The following is an 18811-nucleotide window of genomic DNA, read 5'->3' as shown; positions in this document are numbered from 1 at the left end:
GAGAGTGGTTCTAGAGGAATATAATGTTAAAATACATTTTCTTAATTGGTTCTGTGGTTTCTGGAATTGGTTCTTTAATGTGACTAGATTTAAAGATACCAATTACCCTATTTCAAACAGTGAAAAAAAAAAGCAGTGATAGTCCACAGCATAATTTGGCAATAGAGGAATAGAGATATGCAAAATATTTCCATGGAACATTCTTAATCCACCCTTATAAGCATGGAGCTGGATGTCTGGATACCTGATACTTTTGAATATTTTTGGAAAATGAATGAATATAGTTTGTCAATTGATCATATTGTCATTGGACAAAATGGTAAAATAAAAGAACAAGTTCAGGGATTTGAATTCCCAGCTCAAACATTCCATAAATAACCCAAAAGTTTATCTGTATGCCCTGAAGGAGATCCGTATAGCCAGAGGGCTAAAATGGCTGAAAATCAAATGCTGAATCTCATCTTATCACTGGCTGAATAACAAAGTAAGTTTAATTCCCAGCCTGGCAGGGTGTCTACTGTTAAATGAGGACATTAATTGGGAAACAATGGGAACCTGTAAATCTCATTATGGGAAGACCTTGAAGAAGCTGTGAGCTATTTAGAAAAAAAATCACTACTCTCTGTAAATTGGAATTTACAGTAGTAAATAAGTCACTGAATTGATAAACCTAAATGCAGTGAGAGTAATTGGATTCTAGCGTGGTAGGAGTCAGGTGAAGGGACAGCTTTCAGTAACCAAAGGCAAGGTGTGTGTGGTTACTATAATGGGACAGCAGAGTCAAAGCAGCAATCAGAATAGTCTGACTCAAACAGATGTACAGCATTGCCATATGGATACAGATAGAAAGCCTATCACATATTACTTCATTTGTATAAGCAAAAACTTCTAGGTCAAATGAAAAAAAGTCTAACTTGAATCAATAAAACAAAGTCATGGCCCCTCAATCAATTTCTAGCCTCGAGTCTGAAGACTTAGTACTCAGAATCCCTTGAAAAACAGAAAGGCAGTCTCCAACTCCCCAGTGTGGGTAGGCCTCATTCGATAAGTTTAAGATTTCAATACAACCGAAAGGCTGAATAAGGAGAATTCACTTTTTCTGCCTGTCTTCAAGCTGTGTCGTTGATCTTCTGCCCTTAGACTTGGGCAGAATATACCTTCTGCAACTACAGATCTTGAAACTGCTAAGGTTCCATAATTATCAGAGTGATTTCCTTATAATAAACATCTTTAAACTTATAATCTATCTATTTATCTATCACCTATCCTATTGGCTCTGTTTATCTAAAGAACTCTGACAAACAGCTTCTATCCTCATATTCTCAGGAATGTATGGTCTAACAAGCATTCATTAAAGACTAAAGTTTACTGCACAAGGGTAGTTTCTAAAGATGTAAAAAAATAAGTTTAATGGTCATTGAGAGACTGAAGAATTCTTCTTCCTAGAAAAGACACATGAAAGATAAATTGAGTATTTATGCCATTATATTTTTCTGTCATCTGTTAAAAGTATATAATCTAAGCACTTCCTATTTATTCTTTGTGCTACTTCTTACTCCAAACATACAGAGAAATATTTCATAATGTCTCTAACATCTTTTATGAATTTCATTTATTTAATAATTAAGCTTAAAATTGTTTTTCAGGGTTATGCTATTTTTTGTACCTATATGTGTTTCTATATTTCTTATTTTATTCTTAGAAAATAACTAACATAGTCAAATGGAAGAGTTCCTTGGGGACCCACACAAGAAAGAACTAAGATGCATATGCTAAAATAACATTTGAGTGTATGTACATACATCTCCAAACACATAACGAAATGTTTGATAGGAGAAATTCTAGATGGCTGTAATATGCAATATTTTGTTTATTTATGCATAGAAGAAAGAAAAAATATAGCAATATGGAATCCTGTATCCAGCAAAATTAACCTTAAAGATTAAAGCAAAAATAAAAGGCTTCTGAGACAAAAATTGACAGAATTTATTACCAGCAAAACAGACCTGACCAACAACAAATGTTAGAATAATTTCCTTAGACAGACAGAAAATAACATAGAGGAGAAACTCCTAATTTTTAATCTGTGTAAAAAATAAAGATCATTGGAAAATAAATAAAGGTAAATATACATGCCCGTAAATATATATACATATATATGCAACTTTTAAACATTTTTTATTGACTAGAAGACAACTGCTTATTTAAAATAATGTTAATAACAAGGTAGTAGCTAATTCTAGCATATAGAAATGAAATGAATGAGAGCAATGTCACAAGAAACAGGAGACAGAAATTAGAAATATTCTGCTATAAGATACTTAAACAATATGTGAAGCAGAAGAGTATTATTTGGAGATGGATTTAGATAAGTAAAAATTTACATTCAAATGTAAAACAGCCACTAAAAAAATACCAAAGAAGAAGTATAATTGGTACAGTAGTTGTGAGGGTAAATGGTATATGAAATGTGTAATTAAAGTCAGAGATGGCAAAAGAGGGAAAGAAAAAGAAACAAAGAGCAAATGTGATGTGTAGAAAACAGTTACAAATATAGTAGATATTGATACAACTACATCAATAACTTTAAATATGAAAGGTCTAAATATATTAATTTTAAAATGCCACTTAAAAGTAGGAAACTCTCACTGTGAATTTTTTTTAAAGATTCCATTACAGATTGTCTAAAAAAAAAGAAAAAAACTTAAAGATTCAGATAGGTTAATAAGAAGAGAGAATGATAAACCATACTAACATTAATCCAAAGAAATCTGGACTAAGCAGGCTTCAGAGAAAGACAGATTATCAGTAATAAAGAAAGCCATTATGCAATAATAAAGAGCCATTATGCAATTATAATTTAAATATAATAAATTATCTAAATATAAATAAATTTAAATTTGAAGAAAGATACAAATTTAAATCATGCATGTGCCTAACAACAGTGTGTCAAAACATATGAGACAAAAAACAATAGAGTTTAAAATACAAATAGACTGATCAATTATTATTAATCTAGACTTTAATTTCCCTCTGTCAGGAATTGACAGATCAAGCATGTATAAAATCAATAAAGATATAGATAAGTTGAACAGCACTAAATTAACTGGAATTTTTAAAATACTCCACCCGACAACAGCAAAATTTACATTCTCATCAAGCTCTCATAAAACATCCATTAAGATAGACCACAGTCTGGGCCTTAACTAATTTAAAAAGTAGACATCATGGAAAGCATGCTCTCAAACCACAGAAAAATTAAAAATCAATAACAGAAATATGGCTACAGTACCCTTAAATATTTGAAAATTAAGCAATTCATTTCTAAATAACCCATGGGTCAAAGAAGTCTCAAGATAAATTTTTAGAATAGTTTGAACTATATGAAAACAAAATATAACTCATCAAATACATAAGATGTTAATCAGTGCCTAAATGGAAATGTAGCTCACTAAATGCACATATTAGTAATTTTAAACAAACTATTAGCAAATCATATGTAACCATGTATGAAAAATTATATGTCAGAATCAAGTGGGCTTTAATTCAGGCATGCAAGGCTGGCTCAGATGTGAAAAACCTTTGATAAAATTCAACAATTATTTGTTTTATACTTAGAGCAAACTAGAAATACATGGGAACTTGCTCAACCTGCTAAAAAATGTATAAAAATGTAGGGTATATTTTATCTATAGTTGTAACTATATATATTGTTTCCTATAGAAATACAAATATATATAACTATATACACAGTTACATATAGCAATATTTATAGTTATATATATAGATACCTGAATTAGTATGTATACATCTATTTCCATACTCTGTCAGCTAAAACACTTGGAAGCAACAACACCCCACTAATCATGACCACACCTAACACCGAGGACTGTTTTCAATATATTTTTCAACAAAATAAACTGTGGATCCTTGGAGGAATAGCTGATTGTAAGATTAAGGCAGGAAACACATAAAAAATGATTAGAGTATATTGCAGTGTCAGAAAGCAAAACAGTAGTACAGACACACACACTTACACACAAATACACACACAATAATGGGAGTATATCAAAAGTACACAGGTGAAAGCCAAATGAATAAAACCTCTACATGGCTATCTTAGTCTGTTCTCATGCTGCTGTGGAGAAATATCTGAGACTGGGTAATTTATAAAGGAAAGAGGTTTAATTGAGTCACAGTTTTGCATGGCTGGGGAGGCCTCAGAAAACTTACAATCATGGCAGAAAGGGAAAGCAAACACATACTTCTCCACATGGCAGCAGGACAGAAAAGTGCAGAGTGAAGGGGGGAAAAGCCCCTTATAAAATCATCAGATCTCATGAGAATACACTCACTGTAACAAGAACAGCATGGAGGTAAGCACCCCCATGATTCAATGACCTCACACCGGGTTCCTCCCAAGACACGTGGGAATTATAAAAACTATAATTCAAAATGAAATTTGGTTGGGGACACAGCCAAACCATATCACTCTGCCCCAGCTCCTCCCAAATCTTATGTCCTCACATTTCAAAACACAGTTGTGTCTCCTCAACAGTCTCCCAAATTCTTAGCTCATTCCCGCATTAACTCAAAAGTCCAATCCCTAAGTCTCATCCGAGACAAGGCATGTCCATTCTGCCTATGAGCCTGTAAAAACAAAAGAAAGTTAGTTACTTCCTAAATATAATGGGGTTACAGGCATTGGGTAAATATGCATATTCCAAATGAGAAAAATTGGCAAAAACAAAGGGGCTACAGGTCCCATGTAAGTCTGAAATTTAACAGGACAGTCATTAAACCTTAAATTTCAAAATGATCTCCTTTGAATCTATGTCTCACATCCAGGTAACACTGATGCAAGAGGTGAGCTCCCACGGCCTTGGGCAGTTTCACCTCTGTGGCTTTGCAAGGTACAGCTCCCTGCACCAGCTGGCATTCAGTGTCTGTGGCTTTTCCAGGTACACTATGCAAGCTGTTGGTGGATCTACCTTCTGGAGTCTGGAAGAAAATGGCCCTCTTCTCAAAGCTCCATTAGGCAGTCCCCCAGTAGGAACTCTGTGTGGGGGCTCCAACCCCACATTTCCTTTCCACACTGCCGTATCACAGGTTCTCTCTGTGGGTTCCACCACTGCAACAGATTTCTGCCTGGACATCTAAGCGTTCCTATACAGCCTCTAAAATCTAGACACAGGTTCCCAAACTTTAATTATTGTCTTCTGTGCACCCACAGGACTAACACCACTTGGAAGCTGCCATAGCTGGGGGCTTGCACTCTCTGAAGAAATGACCTGAGCTATACTTTGGGCCCTTTTAGCCCTTGCTGGAGAGGCAGGGATACAGTCCTGAGGCTGCACACCACAGGAGATCCCTGAACTGGGCCCACAAAACCATTTTTCTCTCCTAGTTCTCCAGGCCTATGAGGGGAGGGGCTGTCATGAAGATCCTGACATGCCCTGGAGACATATTCCCCATTGTCTTGGTGATTAACATTCGGCTCCTTGTTACTTGTGCAAATTTCTGCAGCCGGCTTGAATATCTCCCCAGAAAATTGGTTTTTCTTTTCTAGCACATCACCAAGGCTGCAAATTTTCCAAACTTTTATACTCTACTTCCTCTAGGTCAGGGGCAAAAAGCCACCAGTCTCTTTGCTAAAACACAGCAATCATCGCCTTTGCTCCAGTTCCCAAGTTCCTCATCTCCATCTAAGACCACCTCAGCCTGGACTTCAATGTCCTTATCACTATCAGCATTTTGGTCAAAGTTATTCAACAGGTCCTAGGAAGTTCCAAACTTTTTCACATCTTCCTGTCTTCTGAGCCCTCCAAGTCTCTAGGAAGTTCCAAAATTTCTCACATTTTTCTGCCTTCTTCTGAGTCCTCTAAACTGTTCCAACCTCTACCTGTTACCAAGTTCCAAAGTCACTTCCACATTTTTGTGTATCCTTTTCGCAGTGCTTCATTCTCTATGGTACCATTTTACTGTGTTAGTCTGTTCTCACACTGCTATGAAGAAATACGAGAACTAGGTAATTTATAAAGGGAAAGAGATTTAATTGACTCGCAGTTAAGCATGGCTTGCAAGGCCTCAGGAAACCTACAATCATGGTGCAAAGGGGAAGCAATCACATCCTTCTCACATGGCAGAAGGAGAGAGAACTGCTGAGCTAAAGGGGGAAAGCCCCTTGTAAAACCATCCGATCTTGTGAGAACTCACTCACTAGAATGAGAGCTGCATGAGGGTAACTGACCCAATGATTCAATTACCTCCTACTGGATCCCTCCCACAACATGCAGGGGTTATGAGAACTACAATTTAAGAGGAGATTTGGTGCAGGACACAGCCAAACCATATCAATGGCCAAAGCTCGAACAATCTGGACAACAAAATAAAATGTCCGTTAGTTTATTTTGTTACTTTAAAAAATGAACAAATAAATACATTTTAAAAGAGAGAGGAGACAAATCTTCCATGTGGAAAAATCCCAAATAATTTATGCATGCATCTCCCCTTAAGGAAGCAGAGCACAACTTTCCACTCTTCAAGTGTGAGTTGTGCACATTACCTCTTTCCAAACAGTATAATACAGAAAAGAACAAAAGAGTAATTTCACAGTGAAGCAATTTTATTTATTTATTTATTTATTTATTTATTTTCTGAGATGGAGTCTCGCTCTGTCGCCCAGGCTGGAGTGCAGTGCATGATCTCGGCTCACTGCAAGCTCCACCTCCCAGGTTCAAGCAATTTTCCTGCCTTAGCCTCCCGAGTAGCTGGGACCACAGGCACACACCACCATGCCTGGCTAATTTTTTGTATTTTAGTAGAGATGGGTTTTCACCCTGTTGCACAGGCTGGTTTCGAAATTCTGAGCTCAGGCAATCTGTTCCCATGGGCCTTCCAAAGTGCTGGGATTACAAGCATGAGCCACCGTGCCCTGCCACAATGGAGCAACTTTAAAAACACTACCTCTGCCGGGTGATCGGGGTTAACATCAATGATAATAAGTCATGTTCTTGGCATGTGCTTTTAATATGATATGGTAAGAATGGGCTCTTACCCCTGTCGTCTCCCTTCTAAAAATCTTAATATCAGTCTAAGAAAAACTTAAAAAGAAAAAGAAAAACAATAGAGGTACATTCTCTGAAATACCTAACCAATTCTCTTCAAAACTCTGAAGATGATCAAAAACAGTCTGAGAGACTGTCACTGACAAGAAAACCCTAAGGAACATAACAACTAAATGAAACATGGTATCCTATATAGGATCCTGAAACATAAAATGGACATTAGCTAAAAACTAAGTCAATCTGAAATCTAAGTAAATTTTAACAAAGTACATATTTCAGTTAGTGGTACTATATCAATATCAGTTCATTAATTGTAGCAAATGTATTATGCTAATGTGACATAATAAGAGTAGAAACTAGGAGTTGTGTATGTGGAAACATTGTACTATCTTCTCAAATTTTCTAAAATCTAAAATTAAAATATATATACACATATATGTATATAATATTTATACATATACACACGGTATATATATACACACACTATATCTGTAACTATAATGTATCAATATATTCACAATGTATATAGTATTTGTATTTGGTATGTGTATGTGTAGATCAATATGTGTGTGTGTATATATACATATGGCATGTATATACATAATACCATTTGCAGGTTTCATGGTGGAATTTTGTATTAAAGCTTTTCAATGGTAAGCAGAAAATTGTTTAGAGCAATTACAAGATCTAGAGATATTTTAATCCAAGAAATAAGCCTAAATCTGAAGACCAAATTAACAGAAATATGATTTCTGAAGCATTTTGAAATGTACTTCTCTGTTCCAGACAGAAAAGTTTGAAAAGTATGTACTTTTTCCTAGAAAAGTACATTTTAAACTTGTATGAATTTCAATTATGTCTAAAAATTCAACACAATCAAATGTTGTATGTGTCAACTATTTAACTCCCCTGATAAAATGTACCTATCATTCACAAGAGCTCATAGAGCAATGAGCAAGGAGGAGTGGGTATGATTTGAAAATAGCCTGCATGGTTCATTCTGACTTGAACCATAGGAGGATATGCCTCATCTACCTGAGAATTACTGATTTACACAGGAACATATGCATATTTAATAAAAAGCAATTTAGTGCAATATATATGTGTCTAGACTTTAGAATTGTGTGAACGTAGGGAATTTTATTTAATCTCTCTGTGCCTTAGATTTCTGATCTACAAATGGGCATAGTAATACCACCAAAGTCTTAAAGTGTTTTGAATAGTAAATGAGTTCAGAAATATCAAATGCTTAAAATAATCCTTAGTACATAATAAGAGCATAGCTGTATGCTAATTCTATCTTGCTACCTCAGTGTTATTCTTTTTCCCATGTATTCTGCTGTTGCTTCATTTCCTATTTCTTTATTAAGATTATTTGTTAAATACTTATAATATGTCCTACCCTGTACTGTCCTCAGCACTTTACATGTAATGGATCAATTATCTTTACAGCAACTAGGGAGGGTGTACATTATTGTCTATATTAAGAAACTGAGGAACAGAAAGAACTAGTGAACATGTAAACTTATTTAATGTCATACAGCTTGTACATGGCAAAGCCAGATTTCTAACCTGGACCTCAGCAACTACAGGTCTATGAGATTACCTGCTATAATGTACTGATATGTGAATTTTGACAGGGAAAGTAAAAAAGTGTGTGTTCTTGTTTGCCTCTAAAGAATCTGTAGTGTTTCAAAGTGAACTTAGGATAGATGGAATATATATGGCCAATATGTGGTCCCTGGAACCAGATATCCTGACTTAGCAAACATGCTCTACTAGTTAGTAGCCTGGTGATCTGGGGTAGGGCAATTTACTTCTGTGCCTCAGATGTCTTATTTGAGGATTAAGTAAATGTATTAGTCCATTTTGACACTGCTGATAAAGACATATTCGAGTCTGGGAAGAAAAATTGGTTTCATGGACTCAAGAGTTCCACATGGCTGAGGAGGACTCACAATTATGGATGAAGGTGAAAGACACTTCTTACATGGTGGTAGCAAAAGAGAATGAGAGAGAAGTAAAAGTGGAAACCCCTTATACCACCATCAGATCTTGTGAGACTTATTCATTACCAGGGGAACAGTATGGGGAAAACTGCCCCCATGATTCAATTATCTCCCACCAAGTCCCTCCCATAACACATGGGAATTATGGGAATACAATTCAAGATGAGATTTGGGTGGGGACACAGAGCCAAACCATATTATTCCATCCCGGTTCCTGCCAAATCTCATGTTCTCACATTTCAAAACCAATTATGCCTTCCCAAAAGTCCCCCAAAGTCTTAACTCATTTCAGAATTAACTGAAAAGTCCACAGTCCAAAGTCTCACCTGAGACAAGGCAACTCCCTTCTACCTAGGAGCTCGTAAATTCAAAACCAAGTTAGTTATTTCCTAGATATAATGGGAGTACAAATATTGGGTAAATACAGCCATTCCAAATGGGAGAAATTAACCAAACAAAGGTTCTACAGGTCCCACGCAAGTCCAAAATCCAGCAGGGGAGTCAAATCTTAAAGCTCAAAAATGATCTTTGACTCTGTCTCACACCTATGTCATGCTGATTCAAAAGGTATGCTCCCACTGCCTTTGGCAGCTCCACTGCCTTGAGATGCAAAAGGTGGGCTCCCACTCCCTTAGGCAGCTGCTTTCACTGGCTGGCATTAAATGTCTGCAGCTTTTCCAGGCACACAATCCAAGCTATCAGTGAATCTACAATTCTGGGGTTCGGAGAATGGTGGTGGCCCTCTTCTCATAGCTTTACTAGGTGGTGTCTCAGTAGGGACTCTGTGTGAGGGATCTGACCCCACATTACCCTTCTTCACTGCCCTAGCAGAGGTCCCCCATGAGGGCCTCGCTCCTGCAGCAAACTTCTGCCTGGGCATACAGGTGTTTCCGTACATCCTGTGAAATCTAAGCAGGGGTTCCCAAACCTCAATTCTTGACTTCCATACACCTGCAAGCTTAACACCATGTAAATGTTGCCAAGGCTTGGGGCTTTCATCTTCTAAAGTCACAGCCTGAACTAAACCTTGGCCCCTTTTAGTCATGGCTGAAGCAGCTGGAACACAGAGCACCAAGTCCCTAGACTGCACACGGCACAGAGACTCTGGGCCCAGCCCACAAAACCAATTTTTTCCCCCTAGGCCTCCAGGCCTCTGATGGGAGGGGCTGCTGCAGTGGTCTATGACATGCCCTGGGGTAATTTTCCCCATTGTCTTGGGGATTAACATTAGACTCATTGTTACTTATGCAAATTTCAGCAGCTGACTTGAATTTCTCATAAGAAAATGGATTTTTCTTTTCTATTGCATTGTCAGGCAGAAAACTTTCTGAACTTTTATGCTCTATTTCCCCTTTAAAACTGAATACCTTTAACAGCACCCAAATCAACTCTTGAATGCTTTTCTGCTTAGAAATTTCTTCCACCAGAATACCCTAAATCATCTCTCTCAAGCTCAAAGTTCCACAAATCTTTAGGGCAGGGGCAAAATGTCGCTAGTCTCTTTGCTAAAACATAACAAGAGTCACCTTTGCTACAGTTCTCAACAGGTTTCTCATCTCCATCTGAGACCACCTCAACCTGGATTTCACTGTCCATATCATTATCGGCATTTTGCTCAATGCCATTCAAGAAGTCTCTAAGTAGTTTCAAACTTTTCCACATTTTTCTGTCACCTTCTGAGCCCTCCAAACTGTTCCAACCTCTGCCTGCTACCCAGTTCTAAAGTTACTCCCTCATTTTCGGATATCTTTTCAGCAGCGCCCCACTCTACTGGTACCAATTTACTGTATTAGTCCATTTTCATGCTGCTGATAAAGACATACCTGAGACTGGAAAGAAAAATAGGTTTAATGGACTCAAAGTTCCATATGGCTAAGGAGGCCTCGCGATCATAGCAGAAGGTGAAAGGCACTTCTTACATTGTGGCAGCAAGAGAGAATAAGAGAGACATGAAAGCAAAAACCCCTTATAAAACCAGCAGATCTCATGAAATTTATTCATTACCATGAGAACAGTATGAGGAAAACTGCCCCATGATTCAATTATCTCCTACCAGATCCCTCTGACAACATGTGGAAATTATGAGATTATAATTTAAGAGATTTGTCTGAGGACACAGAGCTAAACCATATCAGTAAGATAAAACTATAAACACTCATATTGATGGATCAATACCTGTAAACTAATGGAAAGTGTGTTCAGAACAGAGTAATGTAGGCTATAATAAATATTATTAAATTGTTATTAGTATTATTTCAGATAAACTTAAGAATCAATACGTTCATCAGAAAATTGTCAAAAGAATATAAATCATTCCACCATAAAGCCACATGCACACATAATGTTCATTGCAGTCCTATTCACAGTAGCAAGGTCATAGAATCAACCTAAATGTCCATCAGTGGTAGACTGGATAAAGAAAATGTGACACATATAACCCATGGAATACTATGCAGCCATTGAAAAGAATGGGATCATGTTTTTTTCAGCAACATGGATGTAGCTGGAGGTCATAATCCTAAGCGAACTAACTCAGGAACTCAAAACCAAACACCACATGTTCTCATTTATAAGTGGGAGCCAAACACTGAGTACACATGGACACAAAGAAGGAATAAACAGACACTGGGGCCTCCTACTTAAGGGTGAAGTATAGGAGGAGGAAGATGATGGAAACACTGCCTATAGGGTACTGATATGGTTTGGCTCTGTGTCCCCATCCAAATCTCATCTCAAATTGTAATCTCCATAATCCCATGTTGAGGATGGGACATAGTGGGAGGTGATTGGATCATGGGAAGCAGTTTACCCCATGTTGTTCTCATGATAGTGAATGAATACTCATGAGATCTGACGGTTTTATAAGGGGTTCTTCCCTCTTCGCTACGTCACTCCTCTCTCCTGGTGCCTTGTGAAGAAGCACATGTTTGCTTCCCTTTCCGCCATGATTGTAAGTTCCCTGAGGCCTCCCCAGCCATGTGGATCTGTGAGTCAATTAAACTTCTTTCCATTATAAATTACCCTGTCTCAGGCAGTTCTTTATAGCAGTGTGAAGTAAGACTAATACAGGTACTATGTTTACTACCTGGATGAGGTATTAAAATAATCTGTACTCCAAACCCCCATGACACACAAATTTTCTATATGCATATATTTTTTCATTGTATACCTGTGTGAATTTTTTGCCTATAGAGCTCACTTTCTGCCTATCTATTGAAATGCTGATTTTGCAATTGTCAAGTCCTTCTGTCCTGCTTTATTCAAAGACCATTTTATTCCATTTTCATAAATCTATTATATTCCTACAACACATATAGTCTAAATCATTTCTCATATGATGACTTTGAACTATTATTTGCATTGTTTACTGGTGTTGAAACTTTTTAATACATTTGTCTTTTTCTGTTAATTTTAAATTAAGCACTTGGAAGACAGAATTTTCTCTCATCACCTACACGAACTTTCAGTAGATTGTGCATAAAAATGGATTGTTTGTTAGGTTACACTGATAATGACTACACTAGTAAAATTTGATGACTGAAGCTTTATAAAATGGCTTAGTTATATGTAGTCTAATTTATTGTAGCATTTATTCCTGATATTCCTATGAAATAATGTCTTAATGAATGTAGAAAGTGAAGTATTATTTCTATCTAATGTCAATAACAGGTGAAAACTGTTGCAGAATAACTTTCTTGATACCCATCTAAAAAGCTTTCAGAGACTTGTTTTGCTACTGTCTCTGCAGGGCAAGTCCCTGAATAGCCTTTGCCAATCCAGCTCTTCCTTTCTTGCTTGCTTGTAGTTCTCAAAAATAACTGTAGAATTTGCTGGGAATTCAACACCCTGAGACAAAAAGAAACTGTGTAGAACAGTCCAGACTCTGTTCTTGCCCCTCCTAGAACAGAATGTCCTGCAATGCTTTAGCCTAGAGTGCCAAATCAGCCCTGGGGGATAAAATGCAGAGTGAAGTGGTTGTCAGCAACCTTCGGCTGTCATGCAATGCATGATGCAGGTGCACACAAGACATTGAAAAATAATCATTTGTTTCTCCTAAGAAAATTCAGATGAATTCTATTAAATCAATATGGTTATTAATTTTATAAACTAATTGCTTAAATGTGATAATAACTTTCTATCATTGATGAGATACATTTTTTAATGCTTTGGTTAAGTTATAAAGTATCTTATATAAAACAATATATTAGTTCAAATTTACAATTTAATTGGAAAACATCTTCTTATTATGAAGAGAAAACTGCTTGAGATTTAAATAAAATAGCCCATCAGCACTATTGATTTTCTCCCTGCTGTGACCCATATCCCATTATCGTAGGATGATGATCAGACCGGTATTGAGTCCTATTGAATAAAGCCTTTCAAAAAATTCTACATAATTAACTCTTTTTAAAATATCAACTCACGAGAAAAAAATATTCATTAATTGTCTCTACTGTGTTTAATACAATATCAACTTTATTGAATATGCCATATAATCTATTATACAACCTGAAGCATAATTGAGATAGACCTAGCCTCAAGCTAGTTAAAAAATAAGTTACCAGAATTACAACCCACTGATCCACTCAGTAAGTCAGGCTTATTAGGTTGCTGACTTCCACATGAAAATATTCAGAGCCCCTGCCAAAAATATCAACCTCCAAATCTATTTTTGTATTTTTAGAAGCAACAATAATTTAAAAATATATACTTCAAACTCTGTAGAGGAGATTTTTTTCTTGCTTGTTAGTGGTAACTGTAAATGCATCAGGTGTAAAATACAACATAATATGTCTTTTGAGAATATGTGGCCTTAGATAAAATGATTTTATATGCAACACATTCATAGAGCTTATGTTAGCTAAATTGAGATAATCCTTAGTATACAAACCTTAAGGTATTCAGAGACTCATCATCACTCTGATCATTAAAATAATAGCTAGCCCCCAAGGGACTGTGGTTTTAGAATAAGAAACAGCCAAGTATGTGATATCTTAGGGGTGGTAGCAAGAAAATAGACCAAGACAGCGTATTTTCATGCCATCTGATACCTGATGAAATGTAAAATGAGTAATAAAGGCATTTAACGTTCACACATTTTCTACCCTCACTGCTTCTATCATATCAATGCTCCACAATAACTATCACCTTCACCCCATCCTTATTTAAAAATTAGTGTTGCTAATTTTTGCTCGAAGTTAATTGAATTTCAGTGAAATCAAATGGAAATAATTTGTAATTGTAACAGCTTCCACAGCAAAAGCTGACTTAAAACAGATGTTCAGATAAGGTTTATTATTTTTATGTATCTATGCTAAGGGTCTATCAGCTGGAGTCTTGATCAAGGGTACATATTTATGGTATTATAAGGTCAAAATAAGTGTCAGTGATGGTCAAAGTCCAATTTAACAGAAGAGTCTTCAAAAAATCTAAGTTTATTTTGAGACAGGTTGATCATCTTGAGTACACCAAATTTCTTAAGTGCACCCTAGAAAATCTATACTATGTGACACATTTAGAAGAAAACTTAGTTTTTAATTATTTAAATAGTGAAGAATTAAAATACGTGGCATAATTTGTAGATTCATATCATTTGTTCTACTACTTCTTATGTTCTGGTTCATAGGCGTAAGCAGAAAAACAGATACAGCTTAGATTAGTAACAGAGGCTGCTTTCTTACATAATAAGCTTGTTAACGCCACCTTGGATTCAGGAATGATAGAATCAAATTTCCTAGTGACTCTTATTCCCATTGAGGCAGCTGTTAATCTTTCTGGCTTGAGCAGTAATCTCACACCCATCCTCAGATACTACCTGTGAAATCTCAGATTCCACGGGAGGACTTAGACTTGCCAGTCTTCACAGCCTCCCCTAAGCTTGCAACCAAAACCTCTTCACAATTGCTGGGCTTTAAACACAGATGCTACACCACCCTATGGATCTAATTAGGCCAACTTTATAGATATTTACATATTCAATTCAACTATAATTTTAGCTAATTGGACTTAGCTATCTAAAAGATGCATGAAGCAAGTCATTTGTCAAATGAGTTACATCATTTGAGTAAGTTCTCAAACTCCCTGAAATCTCCTCTTTATATATCTCAGCGTTTTATGCTTTTGATGTGAGGAAGGGGGTAAAAGTTAGACCTCTGATATTTTAGTGAGAGGAGGTTCTTATAAGCTCTTAGATGATAAATGCAAATCACCTGTACTGAAACAGTTATCTGGTATATCTTAGCCTTGGTGACTCAAATGATATTGAACTATAGTCAGTGACTGATGACAGGTGATTAGTGTCATAGAGTTAAATCTTACATTTAAAAAATTGAGTTAACTCTAACACAAATATATCAAGGAGATGTCTACAAAATGACAATGCCTTCTATTTTTCAGGACTAAATGGAATCATGAACTAAAATATAATATATCCAGGTATCAATATATTAATTATACTCCACTTTTCAAGAGAGTCAGCTGAAAAGTATAGTCATGCTTTAAACTATAGCATAAATAAAGATTGAGAACTTTGATGTAGACATATAAGCTCAATTTACAAATCTGTTAGTCGTTGTGAACATTAGGTTCCCATTTAACTTCAGCCCTGCCATCTAACATTTGTTTCTTGTAAAATCAAATGGCATATTTTATTATTTAGAAAATATGAAGAGGATGTTGAGATGGTGAGAGAACAGTTTTAGTTATCTATTGGTGTGTAACATACCATGCTAAAACATAGTGGCTTAAAAACAACAGTCATATATTTGGTTCACTAATCTGGATTTTGAGTGGAGAGTCCATTAGAGGTGGGTTAGCTTTCAGCTGCGAGTTCAGCTTAGGTTATTGGTCTGCAGGTCTCAGTTCCTCTCCTCATACACAGTCTGATGGCTGGGTGCTAAGTGGAAGTGTTCCAGGAGCTAGAAAATGGAAGGTCCTATTTTCTTAAGGTCAGACCTGGAAACAAGAAGAGCCTCAATTTAGCCATATTTAATTGATCCATATAGTTGCACAGGCTGCTGAAATGCAAGACAAAATAACCTAGCCCCACATCCAGGTGGGAGGAGTGCCAATATTTTATTTACCTCATCTTTAATTTACCTCAATTGCTAGAATATATATTGCAGCTCATTTTTTCTAGCTTACTTTTCTTTTAGATATGTAAGCTGAAGATTAGAGATTTTATCTGATCATCTTTAAGTGTCATAGTGGTAAGAAATGGGGATGATAACAATAAGTCACATTTTCCATCACTATTGAGGAATAATTGACAGTTAAAAGTTGTATGTATTTAAAGTGTATATTTTGATTTTCTTATCTACATATACATTGAAGAATAATCACCACAATCAAGCTAATTAATCACAAATATACAAAAAACATTGAATTTTATACTTTAAAATGGGTGAAGTATATGGTATGTGAATTATACCTCAATAAAGCCACTAATAAAAACAAAAAACAAGCAAAAAATCACTTTTAGTGAGGATTTACTATGAACCAGAAAGCATAAGGTTATTTTGTGCATATTAACAATTTAATCCTCCTAGCAACTCTATATGTATATATATACATACATATATCCATATATATTCATATTATATCTCCATATATATTCATGGAGGATATGTGTATGTGTGTGTGTGTGTGTGTGTATATATGTGTATATATATCCATAGAGGATATGTGTGTGTGTGTGTATATATATATATCCATAGAGGATATGTGTGTGTGTGTATATATATATATATATCCATAGAGGATATGTATATATGTGTGTGTGTATATATATGTGTGTGTGTATATATCTATAGAGGATATGTATATATGTATATATGTGTGTATATATATCCATAGAAGATATGTGTATATATATATACACACACATATCCGTAATATGTGTGTGTGTGTATATATATATATACATATATATATACATATATATATATACATATACATATATATATACACATATTAAAGTTGAAGCACTGAGAGATTAAATAACTTGCCCAAGGTCACACAGCTAGTAAACAGAAGAGTGAGAAATTAAACACAATCAACTATAACACTCTGTTTCTTCTTGACCTGTGCCCTGAAAACTCAATTCTAAATCAGTTTCTAACTAGCCTTCCATTAACCACATTGCCTATCCTGCTGTTACCCAGAAACTTTCTAATAATTTAGCATAATTTATCAGAAAATTTCAACTAGTTCAATATAACGTTGTCTTCTTTGTAATGCTTATATAAGCCACCTTCTCTAAAGATGGAGATATTTTTTATTCTGCCTTTAATTTTCAGATGTTTTTCCACCCTAGCTGTTTATCACACTGTTTCTCCAACTACAGTGGTCCTCCATTAGGATGAGATCTTTTACAAACAGTCAAGGTCATATAGCATCTATTTACAGATGTATTTTTTTTACATGTTGACAGCGTATAGTCCAAAAATCTCAAATCTGAAATGTTACATAATTTGGAACTTTTCAAAGCAATTTATGTTACATACATTGAAATTACTTGTGACATGATGCCACAAGTAGAAAATTCCACACCTGCCTGACCTCATGTGATGGGCCACAGTCAAAATGCAGTCAAAACTGTTTCATGTAGAAAAGTATTTAAAATATTGCATAAAATTACAATTTCTGCTTATGTGTATAAAGTATATATTATACATAATACATTTTGTGCTTAGATTTCAGTTCCATCTCCAATATGTCCCCTTATATACATGCAAACATTCCAAAATTTAAAAGAAAATCAGATTTGAAACACTTCTGTTCCCATGTATGTTGAATAAGGGATACTTACTATATATCAGACAGAGTGCTATGCATCCATGACATCATTGTGATGCAAGTTTTAGATATGTTTTATTATGAAAAAACAGAGATCAATATGTGACATGACTAAGATGGAAGCCGAGGTCTTCTAATTCTAATCACAGCATAATTTACATTACTATGCATTGTGTCAACTTGTCAACAGCCAAAAAGTATATAATAAAATGAAGGCAAACCTTGCCTTATATATTGACAATAACATTATTTAAATTTATGTTAATTGAATTATATATTAACATTGGTTATATCATGTATTAATATATTGACTGTATTAATATTTATTATATTAATTATGTTTTATATGTAAAACATTTATTATGAGTGAGACATGAAGGGTACGGCTCATCCTAGAGAAAAATTTCTCTCAATTTGTGGATTTGTGACACCGTAAAACAAGTTATTGGCTTCTAAATTATAATTGAGGGAAAGTCATAGAATGAACATTTTTATTTAAAAAAAGAAATGTTGGAAAGAAAAAAGGGATAATGTGTCCTAGGCAGGGCCAAAACCCACAGGACACATTTCATTAGATTTTAAGGCCTGAGAATAATCCTCTGTGGCTTCATAATCTGTTTTCTGGACCCACTGGAGCAGTGGTCTCACCCTCTGACCCCAAGGAGTTACCATCAGCCTAGGCCTCTACAGCTATAGTTCTGCCCTTGGAGTAATTCTTCTTCCATTCTATCCAATCTCTGACGTTTCCAGTCTAAGCTGGCAGTTTTTCTACTGATTAAAGATTTGCAAAATTCTTGGTCATTCATACAGTTTACATGGGTTCTTGCCATCAGACAAAAGGGTCCTACACAGATCTTTCCTGGATAACTGCATTTTTGTTCCTAGCTTCAGCTGAGATGGTTGATCCTATCCATGAGTCCAGCACCTTATATTTTTAAT

At 35.5% G+C, this 18811-nt stretch overlaps 1 annotated feature.

The window, feature by feature from the left end:
* Window positions 205-1103: an enhancer, noted in NCBI's record as "OCT4-NANOG hESC enhancer chr6:66999393-67000291 (GRCh37/hg19 assembly coordinates)". NCBI's record gives its function as "activates a minimal SCP1, AML or CMV promoter by ChIP-STARR-seq in primed H9 embryonic stem cells {active_cell/tissue: H9 hESC(primed)}" and the evidence as "EXISTENCE:reporter gene assay evidence [ECO:0000049][PMID:30033119]".

This window comes from Homo sapiens, chromosome 6 (assembly GCF_000001405.40).
Source record: "Homo sapiens chromosome 6, GRCh38.p14 Primary Assembly".
NCBI lineage: Eukaryota > Metazoa > Chordata > Mammalia > Primates > Hominidae > Homo > Homo sapiens.
The sequence above is the reverse complement of the archived record's forward strand: the minus strand, read 5'-3'. Positions and strand labels throughout refer to the sequence as shown.